General features: G+C 54.4%; 1 protein-coding gene, 1 long non-coding RNA gene, 3 other non-coding genes and 1 pseudogene across 8 annotated transcripts in view, besides 3 other annotated features; 2 read left to right on the top strand and 4 right to left on the bottom strand.

The window, feature by feature from the left end:
* NRF1 (nuclear respiratory factor 1) overlaps positions 1–2,189 on the top strand; it is a 145,357-nt gene extending 143,168 nt beyond the window's left edge. For all 4 annotated transcript variants that reach the window (NM_001293163.2, NM_001293164.2, NM_005011.5 and 1 more), the window contains one exon: positions 131–2,189. In NM_001293163.2, the coding sequence (NP_001280092.1) occupies positions 131–294 (164 nt within the window). In that variant the 3' untranslated portion in view covers positions 295–2,189. The remainder of the gene's footprint in view (positions 1–130) is intronic.
* RNA5SP244 (RNA, 5S ribosomal pseudogene 244) lies at positions 1,379–1,490 on the top strand (annotated as a pseudogene).
* Positions 2,190–8,094: 5,905 nt separating the features above from the next.
* LOC105375501 (uncharacterized) lies at positions 8,095–14,318 on the bottom strand. Its single transcript, XR_927963.4, has 3 exons — positions 13,801–14,318; positions 13,000–13,071; positions 8,095–8,519 (listed from the first exon to the last, which is right to left on the bottom strand). It is a non-coding gene; the product is annotated as an uncharacterized LOC105375501 (long non-coding RNA).
* On the bottom strand, positions 15,496–15,605 carry MIR182 (microRNA 182). Its single transcript, NR_029614.1, has one exon. It is a non-coding gene; the product is annotated as a microRNA 182 (primary transcript).
* Positions 15,756–16,619: an enhancer, noted in NCBI's record as "H3K27ac-H3K4me1 hESC enhancer chr7:129410483-129411346 (GRCh37/hg19 assembly coordinates)". NCBI's record gives its function as "activates a minimal SCP1, AML or CMV promoter by ChIP-STARR-seq in primed H9 embryonic stem cells {active_cell/tissue: H9 hESC(primed)}" and the evidence as "EXISTENCE:reporter gene assay evidence [ECO:0000049][PMID:30033119]".
* Positions 18,346–19,207: an enhancer, noted in NCBI's record as "H3K27ac-H3K4me1 hESC enhancer chr7:129413073-129413934 (GRCh37/hg19 assembly coordinates)". NCBI's record gives its function as "activates a minimal SCP1, AML or CMV promoter by ChIP-STARR-seq in naive H9 embryonic stem cells {active_cell/tissue: H9 hESC(naive)}" and the evidence as "EXISTENCE:reporter gene assay evidence [ECO:0000049][PMID:30033119]".
* On the bottom strand, positions 19,805–19,882 carry MIR96 (microRNA 96). The gene has a single exon (NR_029512.1). It is a non-coding gene; the product is annotated as a microRNA 96 (primary transcript).
* MIR183 (microRNA 183) lies at positions 20,018–20,127 on the bottom strand. The gene has a single exon (NR_029615.1). It is a non-coding gene; the product is annotated as a microRNA 183 (primary transcript).
* Positions 22,051–22,897: an enhancer, noted in NCBI's record as "H3K4me1 hESC enhancer chr7:129416778-129417624 (GRCh37/hg19 assembly coordinates)". NCBI's record gives its function as "activates a minimal SCP1, AML or CMV promoter by ChIP-STARR-seq in primed H9 embryonic stem cells {active_cell/tissue: H9 hESC(primed)}" and the evidence as "EXISTENCE:reporter gene assay evidence [ECO:0000049][PMID:30033119]".

Consider the following 23,975-nt stretch of genomic DNA (forward strand, 5'->3'; position numbering starts at 1 on the left):
CCATGGGTATGTGATCACCTGAGGCTGGTGACCACGATACCTCAAAGGCAAGACTTGGGTGCCCCCGTCCAGCCAGCATCTGGGAACTTGAGCCTGAGCCCCACCAACGGTCTTCTCTTTGTCTCTCCAGGCCTGGTCCAGATCCCTGTGAGCATGTACCAGACTGTGGTGACCAGCCTCGCCCAGGGCAACGGACCAGTGCAGGTGGCCATGGCCCCTGTGACCACCAGGATATCAGACAGCGCAGTCACCATGGACGGCCAAGCTGTGGAGGTGGTGACATTGGAACAGTGACATACAGCCATATTATGGCATCGTTTTCTAGTCTACTTCAAAATTTTTTACACGTTTGCAGAGGTGCAATCAAATGGAATTAAGTCTCTCGACTTTGGAAGGAAAGTTTTGTTAACCTTTTTTTTTTTAAAAGGAAGAAAGCGGATTTTGGAATTGCATTTTTTAAAGCACCACTCTTGATTTTCTGGGATTGGTGAAGAAACTGCATTGTCAATTTCACTGTCCCAAAAAAGCCAAATTGTGGCAGGACTTCTTTCTGCGGAAATGTGTGTGTATACTTATGTGTGTGTATGTGTGAGTGTGAATATATGTATATGTGTACATATGGACATACACATTTACATATATATAAAGTATATATATACATATATATATATATATATGTATGAAACCCGCATGGAATTATCTGTATGAAATCAAGGTGCGCTGTGGAAACAATAATTCACCCAGTTTAGTGGGTGGTAGGGTACGTGGCCAGACACAGTCACCCAGTTTTTGTTCATACCAGGGTCATGCGTTGAGCTACTGACAAACTCAGGCGGAGGTGACCATGCCCTTCACCAAAGCTGCCTCCCAGTGGCCACACAGAACTCTCCCTGCTGGACTCACCTGAGGAAAGAGGCTCCAGCATGGGGTGGGTCAGAGATGTGCTTGCAAGGTCCAGGGACTGCGTGGTCTGCCAGCTGAGATGCTCCTCGGGCTGGCCCAGGTGCTGACCTTGCCACAGGCAGATGAATGTCTTGAAAGCTCCCGGGCCTCAGCCTCCCATCTCCTCTCCTTCCCAGGAATCCTTGATCTCATGACTATTAAAATGTTGCTCTGGTTTTAAGGTCAGTCCTGAATTGCTCGTATATATGAACTGAAGGTAACCGAAGTATTAGGGGTTTGAGGAGTGCGTGCGTGTAAGTGTGCTTGTGTGTGTGCGTGCATGGTGGGGGAGAGGATGGGAAGGGGGCGGGGGCAGTGGAAGGGAAAGGAAGGAAAGAAAAATCGTCCTAGACCAGGATACACCCGTGGGAGCAATTTTCTCTACTGTCTGTAGCTTCACAGAGGAGGCGCTGGAATGAACAAGAAGAGACATCTGGTCTGTGGCCACAGCACCCTGAACGCCCCTGATCTTGTGTGATCTTGGAAGCTAAGCTTGGTTGGGCCCGGTCAGTACGCGGAAGGGAAGAAGGGACACCTGGCCATAGAAAACAGCTGAGGGTGTTTGCTGTGTTCCTGGATCAGGCCCTGCTTCAGAAGGGACTCCTGGAGGCCCATGTTCCTTGATGCAACCTCGTGGCCCAGGCCGGGAGCAGCTTGCCTCCTCAGAGGTGTTGACTATCTGGGTGTTCTTGGTAACCGTTAACTCTGTCTTTCTCAGCTGCAAGCCCTGAGTCTCCAGTAGCTGAATTCACCTGACTTTTCAACAGGCCAAATCTCTGAACCTTGAGTACAGGGACAGCTCCTCCTCCCTCCTCCCAGCTCTCCCCATGTGTGTGATGGTGTATTTAATGTGTTTTTTTAATGCGACATTAAAAGATTCTCCACGTCTTGCTCAACCTTTGAGAGAAGTTTCAGATTCTTGTATTTGCTTGTTTTATATAAAACTATCTAATGTTCTTTATATGTTCTTTTCTGTACGTAATGGGGGGAGGGGAGGGAAATTTACATATAAATAGTCCTAGTTCTACAATTTGTTATTTTTTTAATTATTATTTTTTATCGTCATTGTGAAGTTGTCCAGGGACTTTAAAGTCCATGTTCCTTTGTGGTGAAATAACCTCCAAATAGTTTGAGAAGTTGCCAAGACGAAGAAAAAAGCAAAACCCCAGTAGCAGAGCATGGATTCTGTGTTGTTTCCCATTCTGTCTTTGACTGCCTCATTCAATAAATAGTTAAAAATGTGGCAACAGGAAGTGGAATTGTTCATCTCTATAGGAGCTCTTGGCTTCTTAGGCAAAAGGAACTCTATCTTGGGGCAGCTCGTTCTGCGTTTAAAATGCAGTCCTACTCGAGATCAGCGGTCTCCGACCTGTGCCACTCCGACGCTGGGGACCTCCGTAAAGAAGACACTGAAGATTGCCCAGAGCCCCCTGCGAGCCCCATCACCAGACCTGCTCCATTTCATACATTTCATATATAACGTGTTTTCTTATACTGACGTTCTGGGGAAAAAATCGTATTTAAAAAATCCTAGGCCGGGCACAGTGGCTCCCGCCTGTAATCCCAGCACTTTGGGAGGCCAAGGTGAGTGGATCACTTGAGGTCAGGAGTTCCAGACCAGCCTGGCCAACATGGTGAAACCTTGTCTCTACTAAAAATAGAAAAATTAGCTGGGCATGGTGGCGGGCGCCTGTAATCCCAGCTATTCAGGAGGCTGAGGCAGGAGAATCGCTTGAACCCAGGAGGCGGAAGTTGCAGTGAGCTGAGATCACACCACTGCACTCCAACCTGGGCAACAGAGCGAGACTCCATCTCAAAAAAAAAATAAAAATAAAAAATGAGGGTGAGTGATGGTGCCTCTCCATCTTGGGAATTACTATTAAAGTGAATTGTCTTTCTTTCTCCAAGCAGAAGCCTCAAGCCATGACTTGTTCCCCTGCATCCTCACTCCCTGGTTTCTCACACAGCTTACTCTCTTAACATGGCATATGCCATCGCTCCAGCTGTTCCTCCTGCCCCATCCTTAGGCCCTTCATAGACCCCAGTAGCCTGCACCTCCATGCTTCTGCATGCCCTGGCCTCAGCCTGGAATGACCTGCTGTCACCCCCACCACCCTTTCTTTATATTGTTGGGTGTCTTGGCCACTTTCCTGGTGACCATGATTAGAATGCTTGCTTGGATGGGAAGGCCAAGAAGCCTTTTCCTTGATGCCTGATGGTGGTTCAGTGAAGCCAAGTGCCTACCTTTCCCCCTTCTTGCACAAATGGCATACCCTCGCCTATTTTTCACCAGAGACTGGACTAGAAAAAGGATTGAGTGCAGCCAAATCAACCACACATCCGTGCTATTGACTACCATGAAATAGCTGGGTTGTTTAGAATACCTGCTGACCAAGGGTCTCTCCAGAGGCGTCTTCTAGCTGCTGTTTGCCTGGCAAGCCTCAGATGCTGCCTTTGCCACAGGCATGTATTGACAACTGGTTTTGGTGGGGCCGATGGAGACCTCTTCCATTCCTGCCTAAGTCACCAACAGGAGCTGCTAACTCCGCTGTCTATAGAGACCAGGGAGGTCAAATCAATGAAGGAAGCTGAGGCAATTCCCATGTGAGAGGAGGGAGTGATGGGGACAGGCACAGTGGACAGCATCCATCTAAACGGGGCAGCCTGTCCTAGGTGCTGATTGTCACCATGCAGGAAGATGGACCCTAATGCCCCAACTTCAAAATTGTCCAGAGAATCTGGGGAATCCAGATTTTTGTACGAGATGTGATCGCAACAAATAAAAAATTTACATACTCTGCAAGCAAAATAAAACCCATCTGTAGACCAGACCTGACCTGACGGTCAGTTGCACTTAACTACGTGAATGCTTGTCATGTGCCAGGTGAATGAAGCATGGTAGTTGCCTGTGAGAAACAAGGAGTGAGGAGGAGACCTTTACATAAACCAACCGCTGCAGTCCAAGGTGATGAGGCACCATCTGGACAGAGCACTAGTGCAGAATGAGCTGTTTACCGCATTTGAGCCCTCAAAGGTCCTCTGTTACGTAGTTTATCATCTAGGCTCCACACAAGGATCTGGTGCTCACAGAAACCAGGAGACTGGTCTAAAAGTTACTGGCTTTAAGTCTTGCATCTGAGAAGGCCCACTGGTGATACAGGTGACTACTGGCATTCTCCAAACTTGAACAAATTAGCTGAGGAGAACCAGAAGGGCAGAGCAGAGGAGGGGTTCCTTGCCCTGGGCCTCACTCACGCCCAAGGAACGCTCTCTCCCCCTCTCAGTAATGCCTCCGAAGCTTGAGCTCTGGGCATGGCAGAGTCGTACCGGGCTCCTGGTGTTTCCTTTTGGTGTCAGCACCAAAACTCATCAGGGAGGAAACTGGAGCTTAATTATTTGGAGCAGAAGCTACGTGGGGTGAGGGAGTAGAGTCCGTGTTTTCCCTCTCACTCCACCTCAGCAGGCTGGTGGCACCTTGGTCATCACAACTGGGGCTTCAGATGCCCCATCCCTGCACTCCCACCCGGCCTCTGCTGTTTACTCCAGGAGGCAGCTCTTGGAGGTCACCCAGGATGCTGGCGGCAGCATGGAGGAAGGGGTACAATAGAGAGGGGAGGCAGGGCTCCGGGACTGGGCTCCGACTGAAATCACTGAAGAGCGTGGGTTTCCTCTTAGTCCCCAAGCCCCTCTGAATATGAGTTTCTCCATCCTGAAAACCACTGGGCTGCTACCAAACATTTGTTGAGTATTGGAGGCCTGGAATATATAGTGAGGAAAGGAGGAAGAAGGGATAACAGTCATCTGCAGAGGGGAACCAAGGTGCCCTGAGAACCTAGAGCCTCCTTAGGAGGCAGGAATAGGCCTGGGTCCTGAGCCCTCTCCAGGGCTCAAGCTTTGCTAGCTTGCTTACGAGAACTATGGTTTGTCTACACAGAGTGTATGGTAGCAATGATAACAGTGAACACTTAGCCCTTACAATATGCCTTGTACTGTATTAAAAGATTTACCTATATATTAATTTATTTAACCTTTACAAAATACTATCATCCCCGTTTTATAGATGAGCAAACTGAAATACAGAGAGGTTAAGTTAAACAACTGAGCCAAGTTCACACTGCTGGTAAGAGGCAGAGCTAAGGTACAAACCTGGGCGGGCAGGCTGGCTGGTCCCAGAATCTGTGCCTAGAAAAACATGACTTGAGCCTCATCACTCTGTCACCCAGGCTGGAGTGCAGTGGTGTGATCTCGGCTCACTGCAACCTCCACCTCCCGAGTTCAAGCAATTCTCCTGCCTCAGCCTCCCTAGTAGCTGGGATTACAGGTGCCCACCACACCCAGCTAATTTTTTTGTATTTTTAGTAGAGATGGGCTTTCACCCTGTTGGCCAAGCTGGTCTTGAACTGACCTCAAGTGATCCACCTGCCTCAGCCTCTCTTAAGTGCTGGGATTACAGGTGTGAGCCACTGCGCCAGGCCCCGATGATACACTTTTCTTGTGGCCTGGAATGGATGAAAGTGGAGGGTATAAGAGCATTCAGTTGGGGCCCGGCGCAGTGGCTCACGCCTGTAATCCCAGCACTTTGGGAGGCCAAGGCGGGCGGATCACGAGGTCAGGAGATCGAGACCATCCCGGCTAACACGGTGAAACCCCATCTCTGCTAAAAACACAAAAAATTAGCCGGGCGTGGTGGCGGGAGCCTGTAGTCCCAGCTACTCAGGAGGCTGAGGCAGGAGAATGGCGTGAACCTGGGAGGTGGAGCTTGCAGTGAGCTGAGATCGTGCCACTGCACTCCTGCCTGGGTGACAGAGTGAGACTCCCATCTCAAAAAAAAAAAAAAAAGCATTCAGTTATTTTTTAAGTAGCTTAATTAATTTTTGGGAGGTTCTCCCCAAATTTTATGTACTTGGCAAATAAAATTTTTAGTGAAATTTAAGTTTACTGGGTCTCAACTGAAACTTCTGAATTTATCTACCCTTTAAGAAGCTTAATACACTTTAGGAGGCCAAGGCAGGTGTATTGCTTGAACCCAGAAGTTTGAGATCAGCCTGGGCAACATGGTGAAACCCCATCTCTACAAAAAATATAAAAATCAGCCTGGTGTGGTGGTCCATGCCTATAGTCCCAGCTACTCAGGAGGCTGAGGTGGGAGGTTCGCTGGGGCCCAAGAGGTTGAGACTGCCATGATCATGCCACTGCACTCCAGCCTGGGTGACAGGGCAAGACTCTATCCAAAAAATAATAAGTTACAGCTATCAATTACTAAATGGCTACTAGCATTTTACTGTGTAAAACACCTTACACCCTTATTTCTAATCCTCTTCACAATCCGGTAAGAAGAGACTCCATTTTATGGGGGTGGAAACTGAGACTTGGCATCTTCCCCAAGAACTAAAAACTGGAGGGCTGAAATAAGGCCTGATGTGTCTGTCTGTTACAGCTCTGCTCTCTATGCCAACCATTCAGAGGACAAAACTGCACATCAGGATTATAAAGTAACCTCCACTGTGTCCTGAGCTTGATAGACCTGGAATAGCCTCCCGTGGCTGGACCTTTTTACCGCTCCCCACCCCCCCCACACACACGCGTGCCCTTACATGCAGCAGGGCCTCAATACATCTCATAGGATGAGTGAACCTAGTTTTCCAGTGGTAGTTTAATCAGAAAATTCAGAGAACCCAAAACACCTATTCCCACACATTTTCATTACTCAAAAAAGTCTGGCCAGCATGGTGGCTCACACCTGTTATCCCACGACTTTGGGAGACCAGGACAGGAGGATAGCTTTAGGGCCAGGAGTTCGAGACCAGCCTGGGTGACAGAGCAACACCAGTCTCTACAAAAAAAAAAAAAAATATATATATATATATATATATATATATATTTCTGCAAAAATCCAATGTTAAATAATTTTATGTAAAAATAACATTGATTGTATTCTTAAGAAAAATCTGGCTATGTGATATCCTGGCAGGGGTGACGGATAGTGAAATGTTGATGCTGAACACATTCTTGGTCACTAACAGTTGCACTGTGTTGGTCTTTAAAAACCTCAGGGCCCAATGAGACTAGGAGAACTCAAAAACCCCTGGGTGATCAGGAAACGAAGCCAAAGCTTGGCCCTCTCATAGTGGACTTTAATCTGCGAGGGAAGTTAGCCACCACTCCTCATTTGGGCTATGAAAGTTGAAGCCCCGGGTCACATGGCTGGCTCATCCCCCAAATCACTCTGCTCCCTTTCCTACTCAGCTCCTCCTGCCCGGGTTACCATCCAGATTCTCAAAATCTGAAATTTTTAATTTAGAAGTTAGGTATTTCCTTTACCAGAGCTATTTTTATAGAAAGCAAGAGCAACGTTTACACCAAATAAATTAATGTGTAATTCTGGAATTTACCAAAATGGTTGCAGAAAACAACCATGAAGATAGACCTTTTTTTTTTTTTTTTTTTTTTAAATACAGTAATGTTTTTTAAGTTAGCCGAAGTTCGGGGTAACTCATCACATAATAGGATTCTCTAACCTGGGCCTCTGGGTACTCATCTGTCCAAAACAGCGGTCAAACGACAAGGACGATGAAGACTTCGTGGGCCCTGCTGAGGTCCTTGGGAGCAGGGCATTCGTGCGGGGCTGTGGGGCACGGCCGAGCTGAGGGTCCCTGGCCCAGGGGCCTCCCGTCCATGCCGACGCCCACTCCTCCCGTAGGACCCAGCCAGTGCGGGCCCTGTCTTCTAGCCCAGCCTGAACGCCACGATGCAGGGAAGCGCCTGAGGCCTGCCGGGGCTCAACACCTGCCCGACTGTGAGCGCGGAAGCCCGCAGATGGCCTGGGCGAAGGCGGCCCGGGTGCGGGAGACGCGACGCGGGGTCACTCAGAGCCCGAGCGCATCCCGAACCCAGAGCCGCCGTCGGGGGCGCACCCGATTGGCCGGCTGAGACCACGTGTCCACCTGCGGCCCAATCAGCGATGGCAGGACATCCGGAAGGCCTGGTCCAGACCGCAGGGTATGGGCCGCTCTCGGGGGAAGCGAGCTGGGAAAAGCAACCCCCGAGTGCCAGTGGCCGCCTTTATGTGCCAGGGTGCTGCAGCCGGGGAATGATGGCGCGGGCATCCCCGGCTTCCCCACGGGCCATACTGCCTATCTGGGTCTGTGGAGGCCTGCCTTAGTAAATTAGGGGTCATTTGGGTAGCTGTGTGCCGTCTCCGCCTCCCACCATCCCCAGTAGCCTCAAGAATTTTTTCAAATCGTTTTATTGAGATAATTTATATACCATTAAGTTCATCCGTTTAAAGCGTACCATTGAACGATCTTTAGTATATTTACAAAGTTGGGCAACCATCACCATAATCTAACTTTGAAATATTTTCATGATCCCAAAAAGCAGGGGTTTTTTACACATTTCCCTACAAAATAACTTGAAGTAAGTTACATAAAAGATATATACAATAAAGTTGAAAAGCAAATAGAAATGAGGATTCAAAGACCAACGGAAGCAGGTCACATTTGTCAGCCTGGGGTCAACGTCGGCGGTGTGATGAAGGTGCCCTTTTAGCTCTGGTCTTGGCTAAGAGGTTGGAATTACTAGAAAGGGAACAAGACACAGTTACTCGAAGAAACAAAGCACTAAGTACTTTTTTTTTTAAGTTTAAGAGAACGCCAAGTTATTTTATATTCAGCATCTTTCACAACATTTTTATAGCCAAAGAAATAGCTTTATTTCCTTAGACCTTAAAACCTCAATTTTGAAAGTTTCCTGGGAGGGGCCAAACTAATGTGGCATTTCAGTGTTTATTTACAGAGCATTAAGGAAAGGATGGAGGGGAGACGGGTATGGTGAACTGGCCATCTGAAATGGCTGCTTGAGCAAGGAATGGCGTGTGACTTTTTCCATTTCCTGGGATGGATGATCAGAGCCACAACTGTGGACACAGAGTTCTCCCCATATTGGAACCCCACATTCTCAAGAGAACCGCCAACCACGGGAGCACAAGGATACAACGGGCTCAGCTGCCCCTGGCCACCACCCCAGTGGTCCCGCCATGGGCCATCTAAGATCTGCAAAGATGGGTGGAGCTATTAGAGTCGCAGGTCTGGGGGAAAGTGCTTAAGGATTTCTGCCTTCCCTTTCCCATCCTCCCTCCTTGCCCACCCCTCTATCCCCCACCCAAACCCCCACCCCCTGCTTCTGGAGGATCTGGACCATGAGCAGAGAAGGGAAGTGTCTACCAGGAAGACCACGTTCCCAACACCGAGGTCCTGCCTCCCCTCAGGAAAAGGGCAGCACATGTACTTGAACTCAAGTTTGAGACTGAAGCTTGAAAGTGATAGGTTGAATGATGGTACATGCTTACACAGATACAGAATTCACCCAAAATGTCATTAAGGAGCTAGAATGGGCCGGGCACAGTGGCTCACGCCTGTAATCCCAGCACTTTGGGAGGCCAAGGCAGGTGGATCACTACTCAGGAGGCTGAGGCAGGAGAATCATTTGAACCTGGGAGGCAGAGGTTGCAGTGAGCTGAGATCCCGCCACTGCACTCCAGCCTGAGTGACAGAGCGAGACTCCATCTCAAAAAAAAAAAAAGGAGCTAGAAGGGAAAGTCAACAGAACAAGGTCAAACAAGGTCAAGGCAGTGACCATAGAAAATAAAACCATGTTGTGTCCAGATCCACCAAATCAAGAAGCCTGATGCCTTTGGTTCCATGAACAGAAGACACCTCAGACTTGTGGGTTAGTCAGTGGCAAGGAAAGGTTCCATTTCCACCCAACCCTAAGAGACACAAATCCGTTTTCATAAAAGTGTGAGCCCCACCCTGCCCCAAGGATATGGGGGATGGGCACCTCTGCCTGTGGCTCACCTCCCCTGACAAGCTCCAGTGGGTGCTGTGCTTCCTCTTCACTGGGAGGCTTGTTCAGGAAATCCAGTTCACTCCATTATTGAAAACAACTCCATCTCCAGGAAAAGTTGAAACTGGCAGTTTTAGCATCTGATGATGGAGCCTTCTCTGCCACTTCAAGGCCTGCTGCCTCCTTTTCCAGCCGGCCTCTCACCCCAGGAAACACCAGCGAAGCCAGTGCAAGGAGAGGCCTCAATCCCTGGAAGATTGAGGTCATGCCTGGGCCAACACGTGTAGCAGAGCTTGGAGAACCCTCCCTACAGGACTTGCCCACCTCCCACTACAGGGGCTGACTGTTCAGCTTCTGCTCTTTGAGAAAAGACACATCCACTGTGAATGCAAAACTCTTCGTGTTCAGTTTTCTCATCACAGCATTTATACTTTTTTTTTTGAAATGGAGTCTCGCTTTGTCACCCAGGCTGGAGTGCAGTGGTGCGATCTTGGCTCACCGCAACCTCCACCTCCTGGGTTCAAGTGATTCTCCTGCCTCAGCCTCCGGAGTAGCTGGGGTCACAGGTGCCCACCACCACGCCTAGCTAATTTTTGTATTTTTAGTAGAGACGGGGTTTCACCATATTGGCCAGGCTGGTCTTGAACTCCTGACCTTGCGATCTGCCTGCCTCAGCCTCCCAATTATATACATTTTTAAATGCCTAGATTATGGCTGGGGAATTTAGGGAGTTGTGAGAGGCCCCAACTTGGGTGAGGAACCAGCCTCGACATAAACTTAGGATTGTCATGCTGACAGGGCATCTGATCTGGTCCCCACCTGAGGTTGGCATCCCACTCCAGCACCTTTGCTTGGCCATCTCCAGAGATGGAGGGTCCAGACCCGAGGCCCTCATTGGTGCAGTCAGGAAGCTCTGTGTGATGTATAGAACATGCCTGTCTGGGGTCGGCTACTGCCCCTGCTTCTGCTCTCTTAAGTCATAGAGAACTAGAATTCTTTCAACTACTTGAAAATAACCTCACATTACCACCCAAATCTTTCATAGCTAAAATCTCCAGTTTCCATTTTTCCTGGAGATGGGTGAGTTGTTTCCAGAAATGGAGTGAACTGGAATTTCCTGAGTGGCCCCCAACGAAAACCAAAAATCCTGGATTTTATGTTTTGAAACGTCTTCCAATGCACAGCAATATAGCGAGTAAGCCACAGAAGGGACCTGGATAGCCAGACCATCTCTGGTCTGGTCCAGCGCACACCACAGCACGGGTGCCCTCCAAACTGAGCCCAGACTGAGGGATAACGTCAAGGGCTTCACAACCTTCATCTCCCATGATTCTCCTCCAGGAATCTGCTGCTGTAAGTTGGCTGCAGCCTGTCCTTCCAAGCACCACACTTTGCCCCTGTATTCCTCCCCCTGGGACCTGCTCTTTCCCCCTTCTCTCTCTACTCAGGCTCAATGTAGGTGGCTCCCTCCACTCAGAGCCCATGCACCACCCCAGCCCTGGAGGCCATGCCTTTCTTCAGCCCCAGCACCTCTTCCTGTCTGTACTACATGCACCTGCCCCATCCACACTGCCCAGTGGGGCTTGTAACCGTGCCCAGCCCAGCTCCCGCGTTGAGCTGTGTGTACCAGGAGGGCAGACCCATTGGCATTGGGTGCCATGCCTCCTGCAGCAAGCCCAGCCCTTTGCTGTTAGTGTTTAACAAGAATCTTGATGGGGGCCGAGCGCGGTGGCTCACACCTGTAACGCCAGCACTTTGGGAGGCCGAGGTGGGCAGATCACTTGAGGCCAGGAGTTCGAGACCAGCCTGGCCAACATGGTGAAACCCCATCTCTACTAAAAATACAAAAATTAGCCAGGCTTGGTGACAGGCACCTGTAATCCCAGCTACTTGGGAGGCTGAGGCAGGAGAATTGCTTGAACCCAGGAGGTAGAGGTTGCAGTGAACCAAGATCGTGCCAGCACACTCCAGCCTGGGAAACAGAGCAACACTCTGTCTCAAAAAGAAAAAAAAAGAACAGCTGAGTTCATCCCTAACAGCCTCTTCCCCTGCAGGAATGTTGGATGCCTCTTAAAAAAAAAAAATGAATATTGGTGGACTTAATGCAGCCATCTTCTTTCTGCTGGAAAGCTGGTCTTTGTGGAAACCTCTCACATGTGGTTTTGATGGTACTTTGTGCACACTTACTCTGTGCTCCAAAAGGTGCCCGGGCTCCAGCTGCCTGACCTGGAGGAGCTGCCTTGTGGAGCCATCTGTACGCCCTAGGCCCTGACACCAGGGCAGCCCCTCCCTTTTGGAGGTCAGAGCCAGGCAGGCCTTCCTATGACCTCAGGGGGCCCATGGGCTACCCATGCACGAGGGTCCCTTCCACTGCGGGAACTGAGACTCTTGGGGGGGTGACAAGACTTTCGGAGATGCTTGAGGTCAGAGGTTACGCAGAGTGTGGAAGTCAGAATGCATCACCCAGGTCTGGAATTCCACAGCCTCCCTGCCACATGCCAGGCCCCATACCAGGCCAAGGCCAGCCCTGGGCATGAAAGTGTGAGTGAGATACAGCCTGGACCCAAAAAGCCTCCACAGTTGATGGGTGAAGCTGACCTACTAACCTCAACCCTCACCCCTAGCCCTGTGGTTTTAGCACTGGCAGGCTGGGAAGGTGTGTGCAGGGCATTTGAGACATGCTGCCTTACCAGCTTCGAAGGGAGGAAGAGCTGGCGGGGAGGGCAGGCCACATGAGGAAGGCGAAACAATTTCTTCCTGGCGAGCAGGAAGACAGGTGGGGGGAGCAGGAGGGTAGTTTGCATGGCAAGGCTGGGTCATACCAGGCCCCATAAACCAGGTAAGGCGCTTGGGCTTATCCCAAGGGAGAGGGTGGGGATACTGTGGTCAGATTAGCTCAGAGGACGGTCAGTGGAGCAGGGCAGGACAGAGATGGGGAGGTGGCAGTGGTGACGGCAGCTGGGACATTCCATTCCGTAGGGACCATCCCACTGATCAGTCCTGCCTTCCCACCACCCTGGTTCTAGCTCTGCCACCCCCAGCAACCATGTATCCTAGGGAAAGGCAGAAGTCTCTGCAGGGGCTAAAGGGGCACCAGGGAGAAGGTCAGGGTCCACTGGCCACAGTGCAGCCCCCTCCCCTGGCTGTGTGGCACGGGGCCTGCAGCCTCTGGGAGCAGTTGCCAGGGCCCGGGTTCCCTGCTCCACCACTCACCTTGGCTATAAACACTTCATTGTCCTGATCCTGTTTGCTCATCTGTGCGCTGCCCGTGGTTGTGAGGATTCACTGAAATCATGAAAATGTAGCACAGTCTGTGCTCAAAGATCAATAGCTTTACTGTGACTCAATCTGCCCAAAGCCCCCAATTTCTTCTTCAGCGCCCACCCTGCTGAGGCCCCATAATAATTCTATTCCTGCCAGCATGGAGCACCAGCAGCTGTACCAGCCAAATGAAGCTATGTGGGTCGGGGGACAAAGATGATGCAAGGCTCCTCCACGCCAGCTTGGACTATAAAACGCATTCTAATCACTGACCTTACCTCCATGCTTAGCACTTAGCAGTACTTGGGCACCGCGATTATGCTGCTGTTGATCACTACACTAAACCGTTCAGCCCACATCTCCTGGTTTTGTTATTTACAAGCTTAAGAACAGAGAGCAGGCCGGGCGCAGTGGCTCATGCCTGTAATCCCAGCACTTTGGGAGACCAAGGCGGGCAGATCACGAGGTCAGGAGATCGAGACCATCCTGGCTAACACGGTGAAACCCCCGTCTCTACTAAAAATACAAAAAATTAGCCAGGCGTGGTGGTGGGCGCCTGTAGTCCCAGCTACTCAGGAGGCTGAAGCAGGACAATGGCGTGAACCCGGGAGGCGGGGTTTGCAGTGAGCCGAGATGGCGCCACTGCACTCCAGCCTGGGCGACAGAGCAAGACTCAAGTCTCAAAAAAAAAAAAAAAAAAGAACAGAGAGCAGAGCCGTTTCAGGCCCTGGTCTCTGGCAGACCCCTACTCACCTTCCTGGGCATGTATCCAAGGTCCTTCTCCCATGGCACCTGCTTCCTCTGCCATCGTGGACTTAATGGCCAAGTCCAACTCCTCCTTTCATTCTGCACACAGCCACAAGAGCCATCCAACCAGAACACACATCTGATCACACCCCCTCTGGCTGCGTGGCTCCCATGGTCCTTAGGTTCGGGAACAAATGCAGCCTTAAGATGGCCAGCCTTCCAGCCCGGCATAGACCCCAGGAAATCTGTGTGCTCTCCAACAGGAGTCTCCTCCTCTCCCTGAGGGTCACTCATCTTCCAGGACTCCCCACCCCTCCCTGTGTCCCAGCAGGTGCCGTGTGGCCCTAGCTCAGAGCAGCCTTCTTCATGCCCTGCAGAGCCAGCCTGTTTACGCAGCGTCTGCTTGTGCTCACGGCATGTAACATGCATAGTGCAGCCTGCGGGAGAACAGTTCCCTTCTCTTTCTGTCTCAAGAGCTGCCGGCTCAGACCTTCCCTACTCGGCCTGTGTCTCCCCAAAAGAGCGCAGTGAGCTGCACGGAGCCGGTTGAGCCTGGAGCCACCAGATAGATGTCTGCCCCGCCCTGCCCAGCCACAGGGGTTGGTGGGTCATGGAACCACACATGACCCTCCGAGGGCAGGTGAGGAGAAAGGAGGGCTGATGGGGGCTGATAGAAGGGGTTTGGGGGATGGGGAGCACCAGAGAAGGAAGGCTGGCAGGCCGAGGGCTGGGGAGCAGGGGATAGGCCTTCACATTTGCATTTGCACCGTTCACTGCGGGCTAGGCCACACTCACACACACACTTACACCTGCACCCACACCCTCTCAACCACACGCGCAGCTCCCACTCTGGCTCCTGAGCCATCTGCAGGCCAGGAGACTCCAGGGCCGGGCTTCCCCAGCAGGTCTGCCCACCAAGCCCAACTCTCTGGGAAGTGCCACTCACTCTGACCCTGTGGCCCGGCTCCGGCTCAGGGGAGCTCCCACTGCAAACACAAGCTCTGGGAAGGTGAGTGGAGGCTTTGTCTCAGGTTCTGAGGCGTCAGGAGGAACAAATCCATGAAGTGGAATGCTGGAGGCATAGAGGTCCAGCCCATGGGCCACCTGCACCCCAGGGGGCCAGTCCCGCATTTACACAAGTGACTTGTACACTCTCCTCCTGCACATCTCTGGAGGCTTATCCCATCTGGCCCTCCATGGCCTCAGCAGGATCACTGGATGTCCGTGATGCACGGCGTGCCCTCCCTGCCCTCATCCTCCCAGCCAGCAGCCCAGGAAGGAACCACTCTTAGTGACCTGTGGAAGGTTAGGAGACCCTCCCTCGGGGCCCTAGAGCCCACCCTGAACAGGGCCTTTCAGGGGAGAGGGTGAGAAGGTTCACCACCCAGAGGAGCCAGGCCAAAGCCCTGAAACCAAACATCCCCCAGTTCCCTCACTCCTCGATTCAGACTCCAGGGCCACAGCCTGGAGCAGAGCTGGACCCCAGCTCCTCTTGGCAGCACCCCTGAGGGCCAGAGAACGGCTTCCCAGCTGACTTGAGGACCTGTGACCTCAGGGGGATGCAGGGAAACACAGAGTGTCACTTCCAGCTGCACCTGCCCTCTGCCACTACCCAGCAGTCCGGGACCTGAGTCCCCTCCTTCCTCGCGGAGAACAGCAGGTCCAGCATGGCCGGCCCTTCCCTCGCTGGCTGTGCACAGGGTGCCGGCTGAGTCCTCGCCCCATAGTTGGCAAGTCTAGAACCACCGGATCCTGTTACCTCACCAGTGTGAGTTCTACCATTGCCAAAAACGGGGGGAGGCAAGCAGCTCCCCCCAGGAGCTGGGGAGGCCTCGGTCTGTGCTGAGGAAGAGACAGAGACAGTTAGGATGGTCCAGGCAGGGCCAGGACAGAGGCGCCCATCCCCGCAACTGCGACAAGGTCCTTCCTGCAGGGTCGCCCTGGTGTGGAGGCCCAACCCCACAGTCCCCCTTCCTGCTGGTCCCGGTCCCTCCTCAGCCCCCTCCTCTCCTCCCTTCCCCTCATATCTGTAACCTGCAGTTCCTGTGGGCAGGCATGGAGCAGACACCATCCCTAGGGCAGCCACCAGGATCCAACCCAGGCCCTGAGCTGTGGTCACCACTCCCAAGGGAACCCGAGGGCACCTCCACTCCCAGCACCTGACAGCAGGGACTCTGGGAACCAGCACAAGCCAGGCCAGAGAGCCCTGCCCCTGGGCGCTGGGGAAGAGATGGCTAATGTGGGCTGGGTTTTGCTATTTACTAAGCCCACGTCACTGCTCCATTTAATCCAGAGAGATGCTCCCAAGCCATTCCCTAGAGCCTAAAGCTCACAGGCTGCCCACCCCAAAGGGAGAGAGGGAAGTTGCTACACAAAACATTCCTCCTCCCTATCAAGTCCAAGGGAGGAAGAGCATTCCACTTGCCAAGGCCTCTTCCCTAAAAGCAGTGGACAAACAATGGCGCTGGGACCTTCTACCCAGGAACGGGAACAGGCAGCCTCTGGGGCCATCAGTCAGTGGCAGGAATGGGCCAAGCTAAAACCAACCAAATATCTCCCATCCAGACGGCACTCTCCTGACCACAGAACCCACTGCACACACCCAGCAGCCCTGCACACACCCAGACCCTTTGAGGGCTGGCTGCGATCTGATTCTCGGAGTGGCATTTCCCCAGACCGCCAGTCACTTACCCAAGGGCAGCACACTTCCGTGTTCCCACTTCCCCTGATGAGGCCAGGTCCTTTCCCAAGGGGTGTTGAAGTGTCCTGAAGGCATCTCAAGCCTTTAGCAAGGGTGCAGGCTGCCTGCCCCCAACCCTGCATCCCCATGCCTCCCCTGCAGCCTGGAAGGGACTCTTTGCCCTCAAGCCTCCTGGGCAGTATGGGCCCACCATGAGCAGGCTCATTTTCCGAACATGCCCCGGCTGGGGGAGCAGCTGACTTGGCAGGGCCCCCAAAATGACACCGCTGCCGCCGCCACCGCCACCACCCCTCCCATCCTGCCTGCCCTTTAGGGTGGAGTGAGATGGGATGATGGCTTAAGATGCAAACAGATCCAGGCCATCCCCAGGGCCAAGTCCAGGACCTCGGTGGCACCCAGACCGGACCGGCAGCCTGGGCTTGGGCGCTGGGGAGGACACCTCTGCCCGAAAGGAGAGGCTTGGTGGGGAAGGTTTGGCCTCTGAGCAGAGGCACGACTCTGGAAGCCTCTCCGAGGGTGGGCGGGCCTGCTTTGGGACATCAGCAGCACTGGGCTCTCTTGGTCCCATGGAGCCCCCAAGCCTGGGACTTGCTGAGGAGGCCACTCCCACCCTCCTCCAGTGTGTATGTGGGGGGTCCTGTCCTCCTCCCCACCCAGCTGTGGCCGCACCAGCCGGGCTCCATCGGCAGCCTGGGGCTGCAGGCGATCAATGGTGCCGGATCGCATTTCGACCCGCCTGAGGCTGGGCAGAGGCTGGGATAATGGCCTGGAATGAATAAGCAAATGGAGTGGTGGGGGAGGCGGGGAGTCTGGAAAACCCACTCATACAGCCCTCCAGGGAGCTGCCCCTCCTGCCGCTCCACGCACCCAGACAGGCCAAGCAAGGTGCCCGACATGGGGGACGCCCTAAACCCGGGCATCTGGGAGCCGCTGCTTTTGACAAACAGAAAAACAAAGCAAAAAGTGCTTCTCAGTGACCCTCCCGCTCCAGCAAGAAAGGCCTTCGCTGCAGTGGGACAGCGTTCCTGCCTGACACTGGACACCATTGGACAGATCATGGGCAGAACCTTTTGCCCATCTCACAGACCTTCTGGAAGCCACACAAGGGAGGATCCAGGACCTGTTCTGCAGGGTGGGGAGGTGAAGAGGGGCCCTCTCCTATCCTAAGTGCCCCCAGCCTGGGTGGTAGGAAATTGTGTCTTTAGGGAGGAGGGCCAGCTGTGGTGGCCCCCACTCTCTGGGACAGTCACTGTTGTGGGTGAACTCACCACCCAGGTCTGGCCCGGAACTAGGTAAATTAGGAGATCTAGAAACTAGCTTTGGCCTGAGGTCCTCCCCTGGAGCGCTGGAGCAGGGCCCCAGAGCAGCCGGGCCTGAAGCCTGGTGGAGGCACGCCCCCACACCAGTGCCTGCACTCGGGGCTCAGCAAAGGCGCCCACCTGGGCAGGTGTGAGGAGGTGGAGCCCAGCTGCAGACCACCCAGGGGCTGAGGGCAGCTTCTGTCATCCGGCCTTCCCCGCTAGGCAGGAAGGAGCAGAACCCTGGCCAGACACTCCAGAGGCTCCAGGGAAAAGCTCTAGAACCGGTCACTGCCAGGGGCCTTCCACCCCCCCTTGCTGGGTCTCTGTGCCCACCCCACCTCCAGGGCTCATTCTCACTCAGGCCGGGAAATCCCTTCTTTCCTATCCCATGGGACCTGCAGCAGGACGCCCTAAGGAAGCACCCGGGGCGGAGGACTGGAGCACAGAGACAGGGTGCGGCACAGGCCAGCCAGGTTCCGAGGGGCAGAGGGAGAGCTGGGGCCATCAGAAGAGAGACCTAGCTACAGGGACACCTCACCAGGGCAGAAGTCCCCTTCTATCCTGAAATAAACAAGCCCCTCCTTTTTTCTGCAGGGGCTTGGAGAGCTTCTGTAGAGAAACACGGGCACCACACCCCAGAGGGAATTTATTGGGGGCTCCTCGCGGTTTGGTGATAGCTAACTGACAAGAAAAAAAAGGCCCAACCCACCCAAGGCAGTCCCCAGGGCACCCAGGCAGGCAGCACTGGTCACCATGTTCCTGCTGTGCAGTCAACTGGACCCGTCATCCTCCAGCTGCCAGCTTCAACCACACACATCCCCCACCCGGGCACTCCCTGGCTCAGACACCTAAAATGACTCCCACTGATCTGGGCTAAGTCCACCAACCCTTGCCTGAGGCTCCCTGGGGAGAAGCAGCCCCATCAGGGGCTGGCCCAGTGACCTGGGGCATGATAGCTCCCAGCTGGTCCCAAGTCGGCCACTGGTCTCCTGCTTGATTGCTGACCACCAGATTTCACATGGGTCCAGCCTGGCTGGCCAGGCTCTCCCCAGCTTTGACAGACTAGGTCCAGGCCTCCCAGCCTCAGTCTCTGCCATCTGGGGCATCCTTGGGAGCCCAGGCCTGTAGATTCAGAGCTGAGACACCTCCAGGCCCTGGGTGCCTCCATGGAAGGTGTGGCTGGTGGCGGAAGAGCCACAGTGACCCAGCTCTACCACTCACCAACCTCTTCAGCCAAGCCTTTCCTCTCAAAGCCTCAGGTTCCCCATCTATGAGATAACTATTTTAAAAAATTACAAGCCCCACAGGGCTGAGGTGGGAACTGTTGGGATTATATATGTAATGTCACCTGACACCCAGATGGAGAGCATAGGCCAGTTAGTCATAGCCCAGATCCAGGGACCCAGGAAGCTACATTACCAGTGTGTGGTGTGTGAAGGGGAACATTGGCCTCTGCTCCAGAACCTTCTAGGGGCAGGCCTGAAAATGCCCTCCAACTCCGAGCCCCACTAAGTATCCTCCTCTTGGAGCTGTTCGGAGATGACCCACTCCACAGCAGGCTACAGCTCCAGAGACGGTAGCCCCCCTGGAAACACCCAGGCTGACCTCAAGGGCAGCCCACCTGCCTGGAGCTGCCCCCTTCACAACCTGCAGCAGAAAAGACCAGGCCCTGTGCTGCCAGCCAAGGTCTCACCCCAAGCGTGTGCTGGGAGCCTGGCTGGGCCTTTCCAACCCACGGCACCATTCAGGATGGCCCTACAGATGGTTTCAGACTCCCCCACCTCTGCCCTGGGCGGCCCCATCTGCTGGCCCAGCTCAGATTGCTGGGCTCCCAGCTCTACCGTGGCCCCAGGCAGTGTAAGGCGATCTGGCTGCCCACCAGCGCTGGGCCCTCACACAGCAGCTGAGCCAGATGGGCTGGGGAGGCGGTGAGGAGGCCTTGAGGAGGAGCAGGCTGGGGCCCTGACACAAGGATGCAGGGGAGGCGGACGCAGCTGCGGGTCCTGCTTTTCCCATATTGGCACTGCACATGATTGCTCAGAGCGGAGAGACACAAGCAAAAATGTGCTAGTGCCAAAATCGGCCAAGCAGATGGCACTGGTGCGGGCTCTCTGGGGACACACTGGACGAGGGGCCTTGCATCCCTGCACCCTTGGAAGCAGCCTGTTTCCGACGTCTAGGAGCACTCAAGGCAGAAGTGGGTAAGGTGCTCCGGAGGCCCTCGTGGATCTGTCTCTGCTCTGTTTATGGCCCTTCGGTAATTCACTGACTGAGACTGTTCACAGTGAATTCTACCAGTGCCATACACAGAACAGGAGTCACACTCTGCGGCCTGCCGACCCTGCGGAGAGACCAGCGGCCCACGATGCCCGTTCCCTGCTCCTAGCCTGCCCACTCCCTTGGGGGCCCCCCAGCAGGCCCTCAGCAGCGGCTGCTACGGTCTCTACCCCCCACCCCATCCCACCTCTTCACAAGATCCACATGCCCCATCAGCCCAAGATGACCTTCAAGGAGACAGGGACAGTGCGGGAGAGGAGCTGACCTTCTGGCCTTGCAGAGGAGAAGACCACACCAAGGTGTCTCCTATCTCCACCTGAAGGCCCACATCCCTCCACATCACCCAGACTGCGCCTCCAGGCTGGGGAGGGAGTGGGTCAGGACCATCCATCTCCTTGCCAGAGTAACTCTGGCTCGGAGAGGCAAGCAGCTGGCCAGAGCCTCCTCTCTACCCAACCTGCCACAGGGGCAGTGACCAGTGGGACATCCAAGATGCCTCTCGTAGCCTCTGAGCCCAGACACCAGCAGCCCAGGCTCCTAGGCACTTTGGTCTCCATTATCCTCCACCCCCCAGCCTGCCCTGTGGCAGAAACAGAGCCCCAGGAACAAACCGAATCTGCTGCTCACCCCCACTCCCATCCCAAACCAGACCAGATTGGGCCAGACTGTGAACCGCCCAGGCTGGGCATCTCTGCTGCCGGCCTAGGATCAAGGCAGGAAAAGGCCAGGAAAGGAGGGCAGAAGAGAAGTCCTGCAGCCACCCAGGTGGCTTGGAGGGAGCCGGAGGCACGGATGCACTCTAGCAAGGGAGTGGCTCCTGGCTGGCTCTGGAGTGACTGCGGAGGAAAGCGGAGGCTCAGGAGCGAGGGAGGGGCTGGGAAGGTTGCATCAGTGGTTGCCAGAGCAGCTGCCTAGAGAGAAGTTGCTGTGGAGGCCCTGCCTCTGGTGTCACAGGCCCTGGGGAAGGACGGGAAGAAGGGAGAGGGTGGGAGGGAGGGTCTCTGGGGAGCTGGCACCCAGGGCAGGCAAGCTGGGGCCTCCGCAGAGTGGCCACTAGAGTCTCAGCCTACTCCAGGTCAGCGGTGGCCCAGAAGGCAGGGTGGCTAGAAAATATCCTGGAAGGGTCAGAGCAGGTGCCCTGGCCCAGAAACTATGCAGACCTCTTGGCGATGTTACCCCCAGGAACTACCTCCCGTGGACCTCAGAGCTCCATCTGGGTACCTTGGCCAAAGCCATCCGCTCTCCCCTAGACACTGCTTAATGCTCCACCCTTCCTGCTCCCGAGGACTCTTTGTCCTGCTCCCACACACCCCCACTACAGGGCTCTGCCCTTCTAGCTGGTCTATCTCCCCAGAGGACAATCCAGCTTGATGAGGTGGTGATCTCAGGAAGTCACTCCTCAGCCTTCTGCCTCAGTTTCCCTTACTACAATTTTCTGAACTCTACTAAGGAAGAGAGACCAGACTTCCCAGCCTTGGGTGGGGAGGGGAAGGGGTGATGGCAGGGTGTTAGCAAAGAGTATGGGGTGGGTAGTTATGAACATTGCTTAGGGTGTAGCCATAAGCATCACCCAAGGAGCCTGTTGAAATGTAGATTCTTGAGCCTGCCTGGAAATCTGCATTTTAATAGCACCCTGACAGCTCAGCATGGGGTGGGGGTGGGGGTGGGAAGATCTATTTTGAGAAATCTTTCCCAAGAAGCCTCACCCTGGGATAATTAAACAGAATGCAGAATTCTTCTTTCTTCTGGCTGGGCGCAGTGGCTCACACCTGTAATCCCAGCGCACTTTGGGAGACGGGAGGATCGCCTGAGGTTAGAAGCTCGAGACCAGCCTGGTTAGCATGGTGAAACCCCCGTCTCTACTAAAAATACAAAAATTAGCCAGGCGTGGTAGCAGGCGCCCGAAGCTGAGGCAGGAGAATCGCTTGAACCCGGGAGGTGGAGGTTGCAGTGAGCAGAGATCGCACCACTGCACTCCAGCCTGGGCAACAACAGAGCGAGATTCTGTCTCAACAACAACAAAAAAAAAAAAAAAAAAAAAAAGAATTCTTCATTCTTCTTTTGGGGACAGCCAAGGATGGGGAGAGGCAGGTGTTAGGGAAGGGGAACACGCAGCACCTTGCAACCAAGGAGCCACAGAGGCCTTAGAGCTGGAGAACAGATGGAGCCAGGGATTCTGCTCTCCCCAGCCCAGGAAGGAATAAAAGGGACCCCAGGTAGAGGAGAGAGCCCTGTAACAAAGCAGCCAAACACGTACGCTCCTTCAAATTGTGGCATCTCTGTCGAGCTCCTTGGTCTGTTTTCCTCATCTTTGTAACTGACATAGGATGGAATACAGGGAGCAGCTCGCAAAGCCAAATCCCTCTCCACTTCCAGTTCTAGTCGGCTGGGCCAGGTTCCTCCCCTGCGCCTGCCTCACCCCTCCTAACCCAAATGCGACAGGAAGCCCAAGTGCCGCAGTGCCTGGGGGGTGCCACGCCCGCTGGGGCCTCTCCATCCTGGTGGAGGGAGGCTGGGGCCTGGGCCCTAGGGAAGCAAGGTCTCCCAGCTCTCTCGAAAAGCGGGTAAGAGGAGCTCTCCGACATCAGCAGCAGAATCCCCACTCGGAATCTCAAAAGGGAAAACAGAGGCCTATGGCTTGGCGCAGGTCAGGATAGCAGCCTCTTCTGCCCTCCCTGCAGGACACAGCCCTGACCTTGAGATCAAAGGCACAGAAATCCGCTTCTGGAGTGGGAAGATGAAGACAAGGTCTCCCACACCCGCTGGGCGTCAGCGCCTGGCAATGGAAGAGGACCAAAAGAGATGCAACTTGCAGGCCAGGCTGGGCAGCCAGGGACTCACAGGGTGTGTGGGGGTCCTACACATCCTAGGAGGTCTCCACAAAGCGCCCCCTCCCACCTTCGGTCGCTCTCAGCCCCACCCTCCTGAACTCTACTTGGGCCTTCTTAAAACTCGAGTCCCCTTTCCCCTAGGGGTGTCCCTTCCTGGGCACTGGTGCCCAATGCAAAGGGCAGGCCCCCAACCCCTTCCAGTGTTAGAGGTGAGTGTTGCAGGACTCTGGGCTATGGGTACTCCGGGGTCCTTAGACAGCACATAGCCTACCGCTCGACTCCTGGCTCTCCTCTCCACCTCTACACAACGAATCTGGAGTCCAGGGTCCCAGCCGCGCCACCCACAACCGGTCTGGTCCTGATCCCTCCAGTCTCTATCAAATGCCCCTGAGGTCCCAGGGGCTAGAGGCTGCTGGGGCCCTTGAACGGGCATGCCCTGGACGCTGCGCCTGTCATCCTGTGTCCCCATGAGGTGCTGGGAGAGGGGCCCAGAGCTCCTTTCCCCGAAGCCCAGGCCGCCACCGACCCATTAAATAAATACTCAGGTGTCTGGGGTGCGGAGCTCACTCCAAGAGCCACTGGGCCCCGGTAGGAGAAAAAGAATAAACGAAATCCTCACAAGTGAGGCCGGCATCCTAGAATTTTCTCTTCTTTGCGTAAGGCCGACTCCAGAGGTCCCGCTAACTCCCCCGCAGGAGCATGAAGGGGCGGCCTTGAGCGGTAAAGAAACGAGCAGTGGTGGAGGCTGCCGCTCCGAGCCCAGGTCCGAACCGAGAGCCGCGCGGGGAATGTGGGGGTCGAGGCTGAGAGCTGGGCTTGGGGCAGGTTCCTTTGCGTTCGCTCAGGCCACGATGAGGCCACTAGGACAGATTTCTCCGAAGGCTCGGCCTCGGATCAGAGATCCGCCGACTCGGTGCCCATCGGTCGGGCTCACTGGGTGACAGGTAGAGGGTGATGCGCACCCGTAGAGCTGAGTGACCCGGCCCGAGAATCCGCCACCTGGCTCGCAGGATTTTCGCCCTCAGGAGCTTTGCGAAGACGGGCGCAAACCTGGGAGGCGCCGCCGCACCT

Source organism: Homo sapiens, chromosome 7 (assembly GCF_000001405.40).
Source record: "Homo sapiens chromosome 7, GRCh38.p14 Primary Assembly".
Classification (NCBI taxonomy): Eukaryota; Metazoa; Chordata; class Mammalia; order Primates; family Hominidae; genus Homo; species Homo sapiens.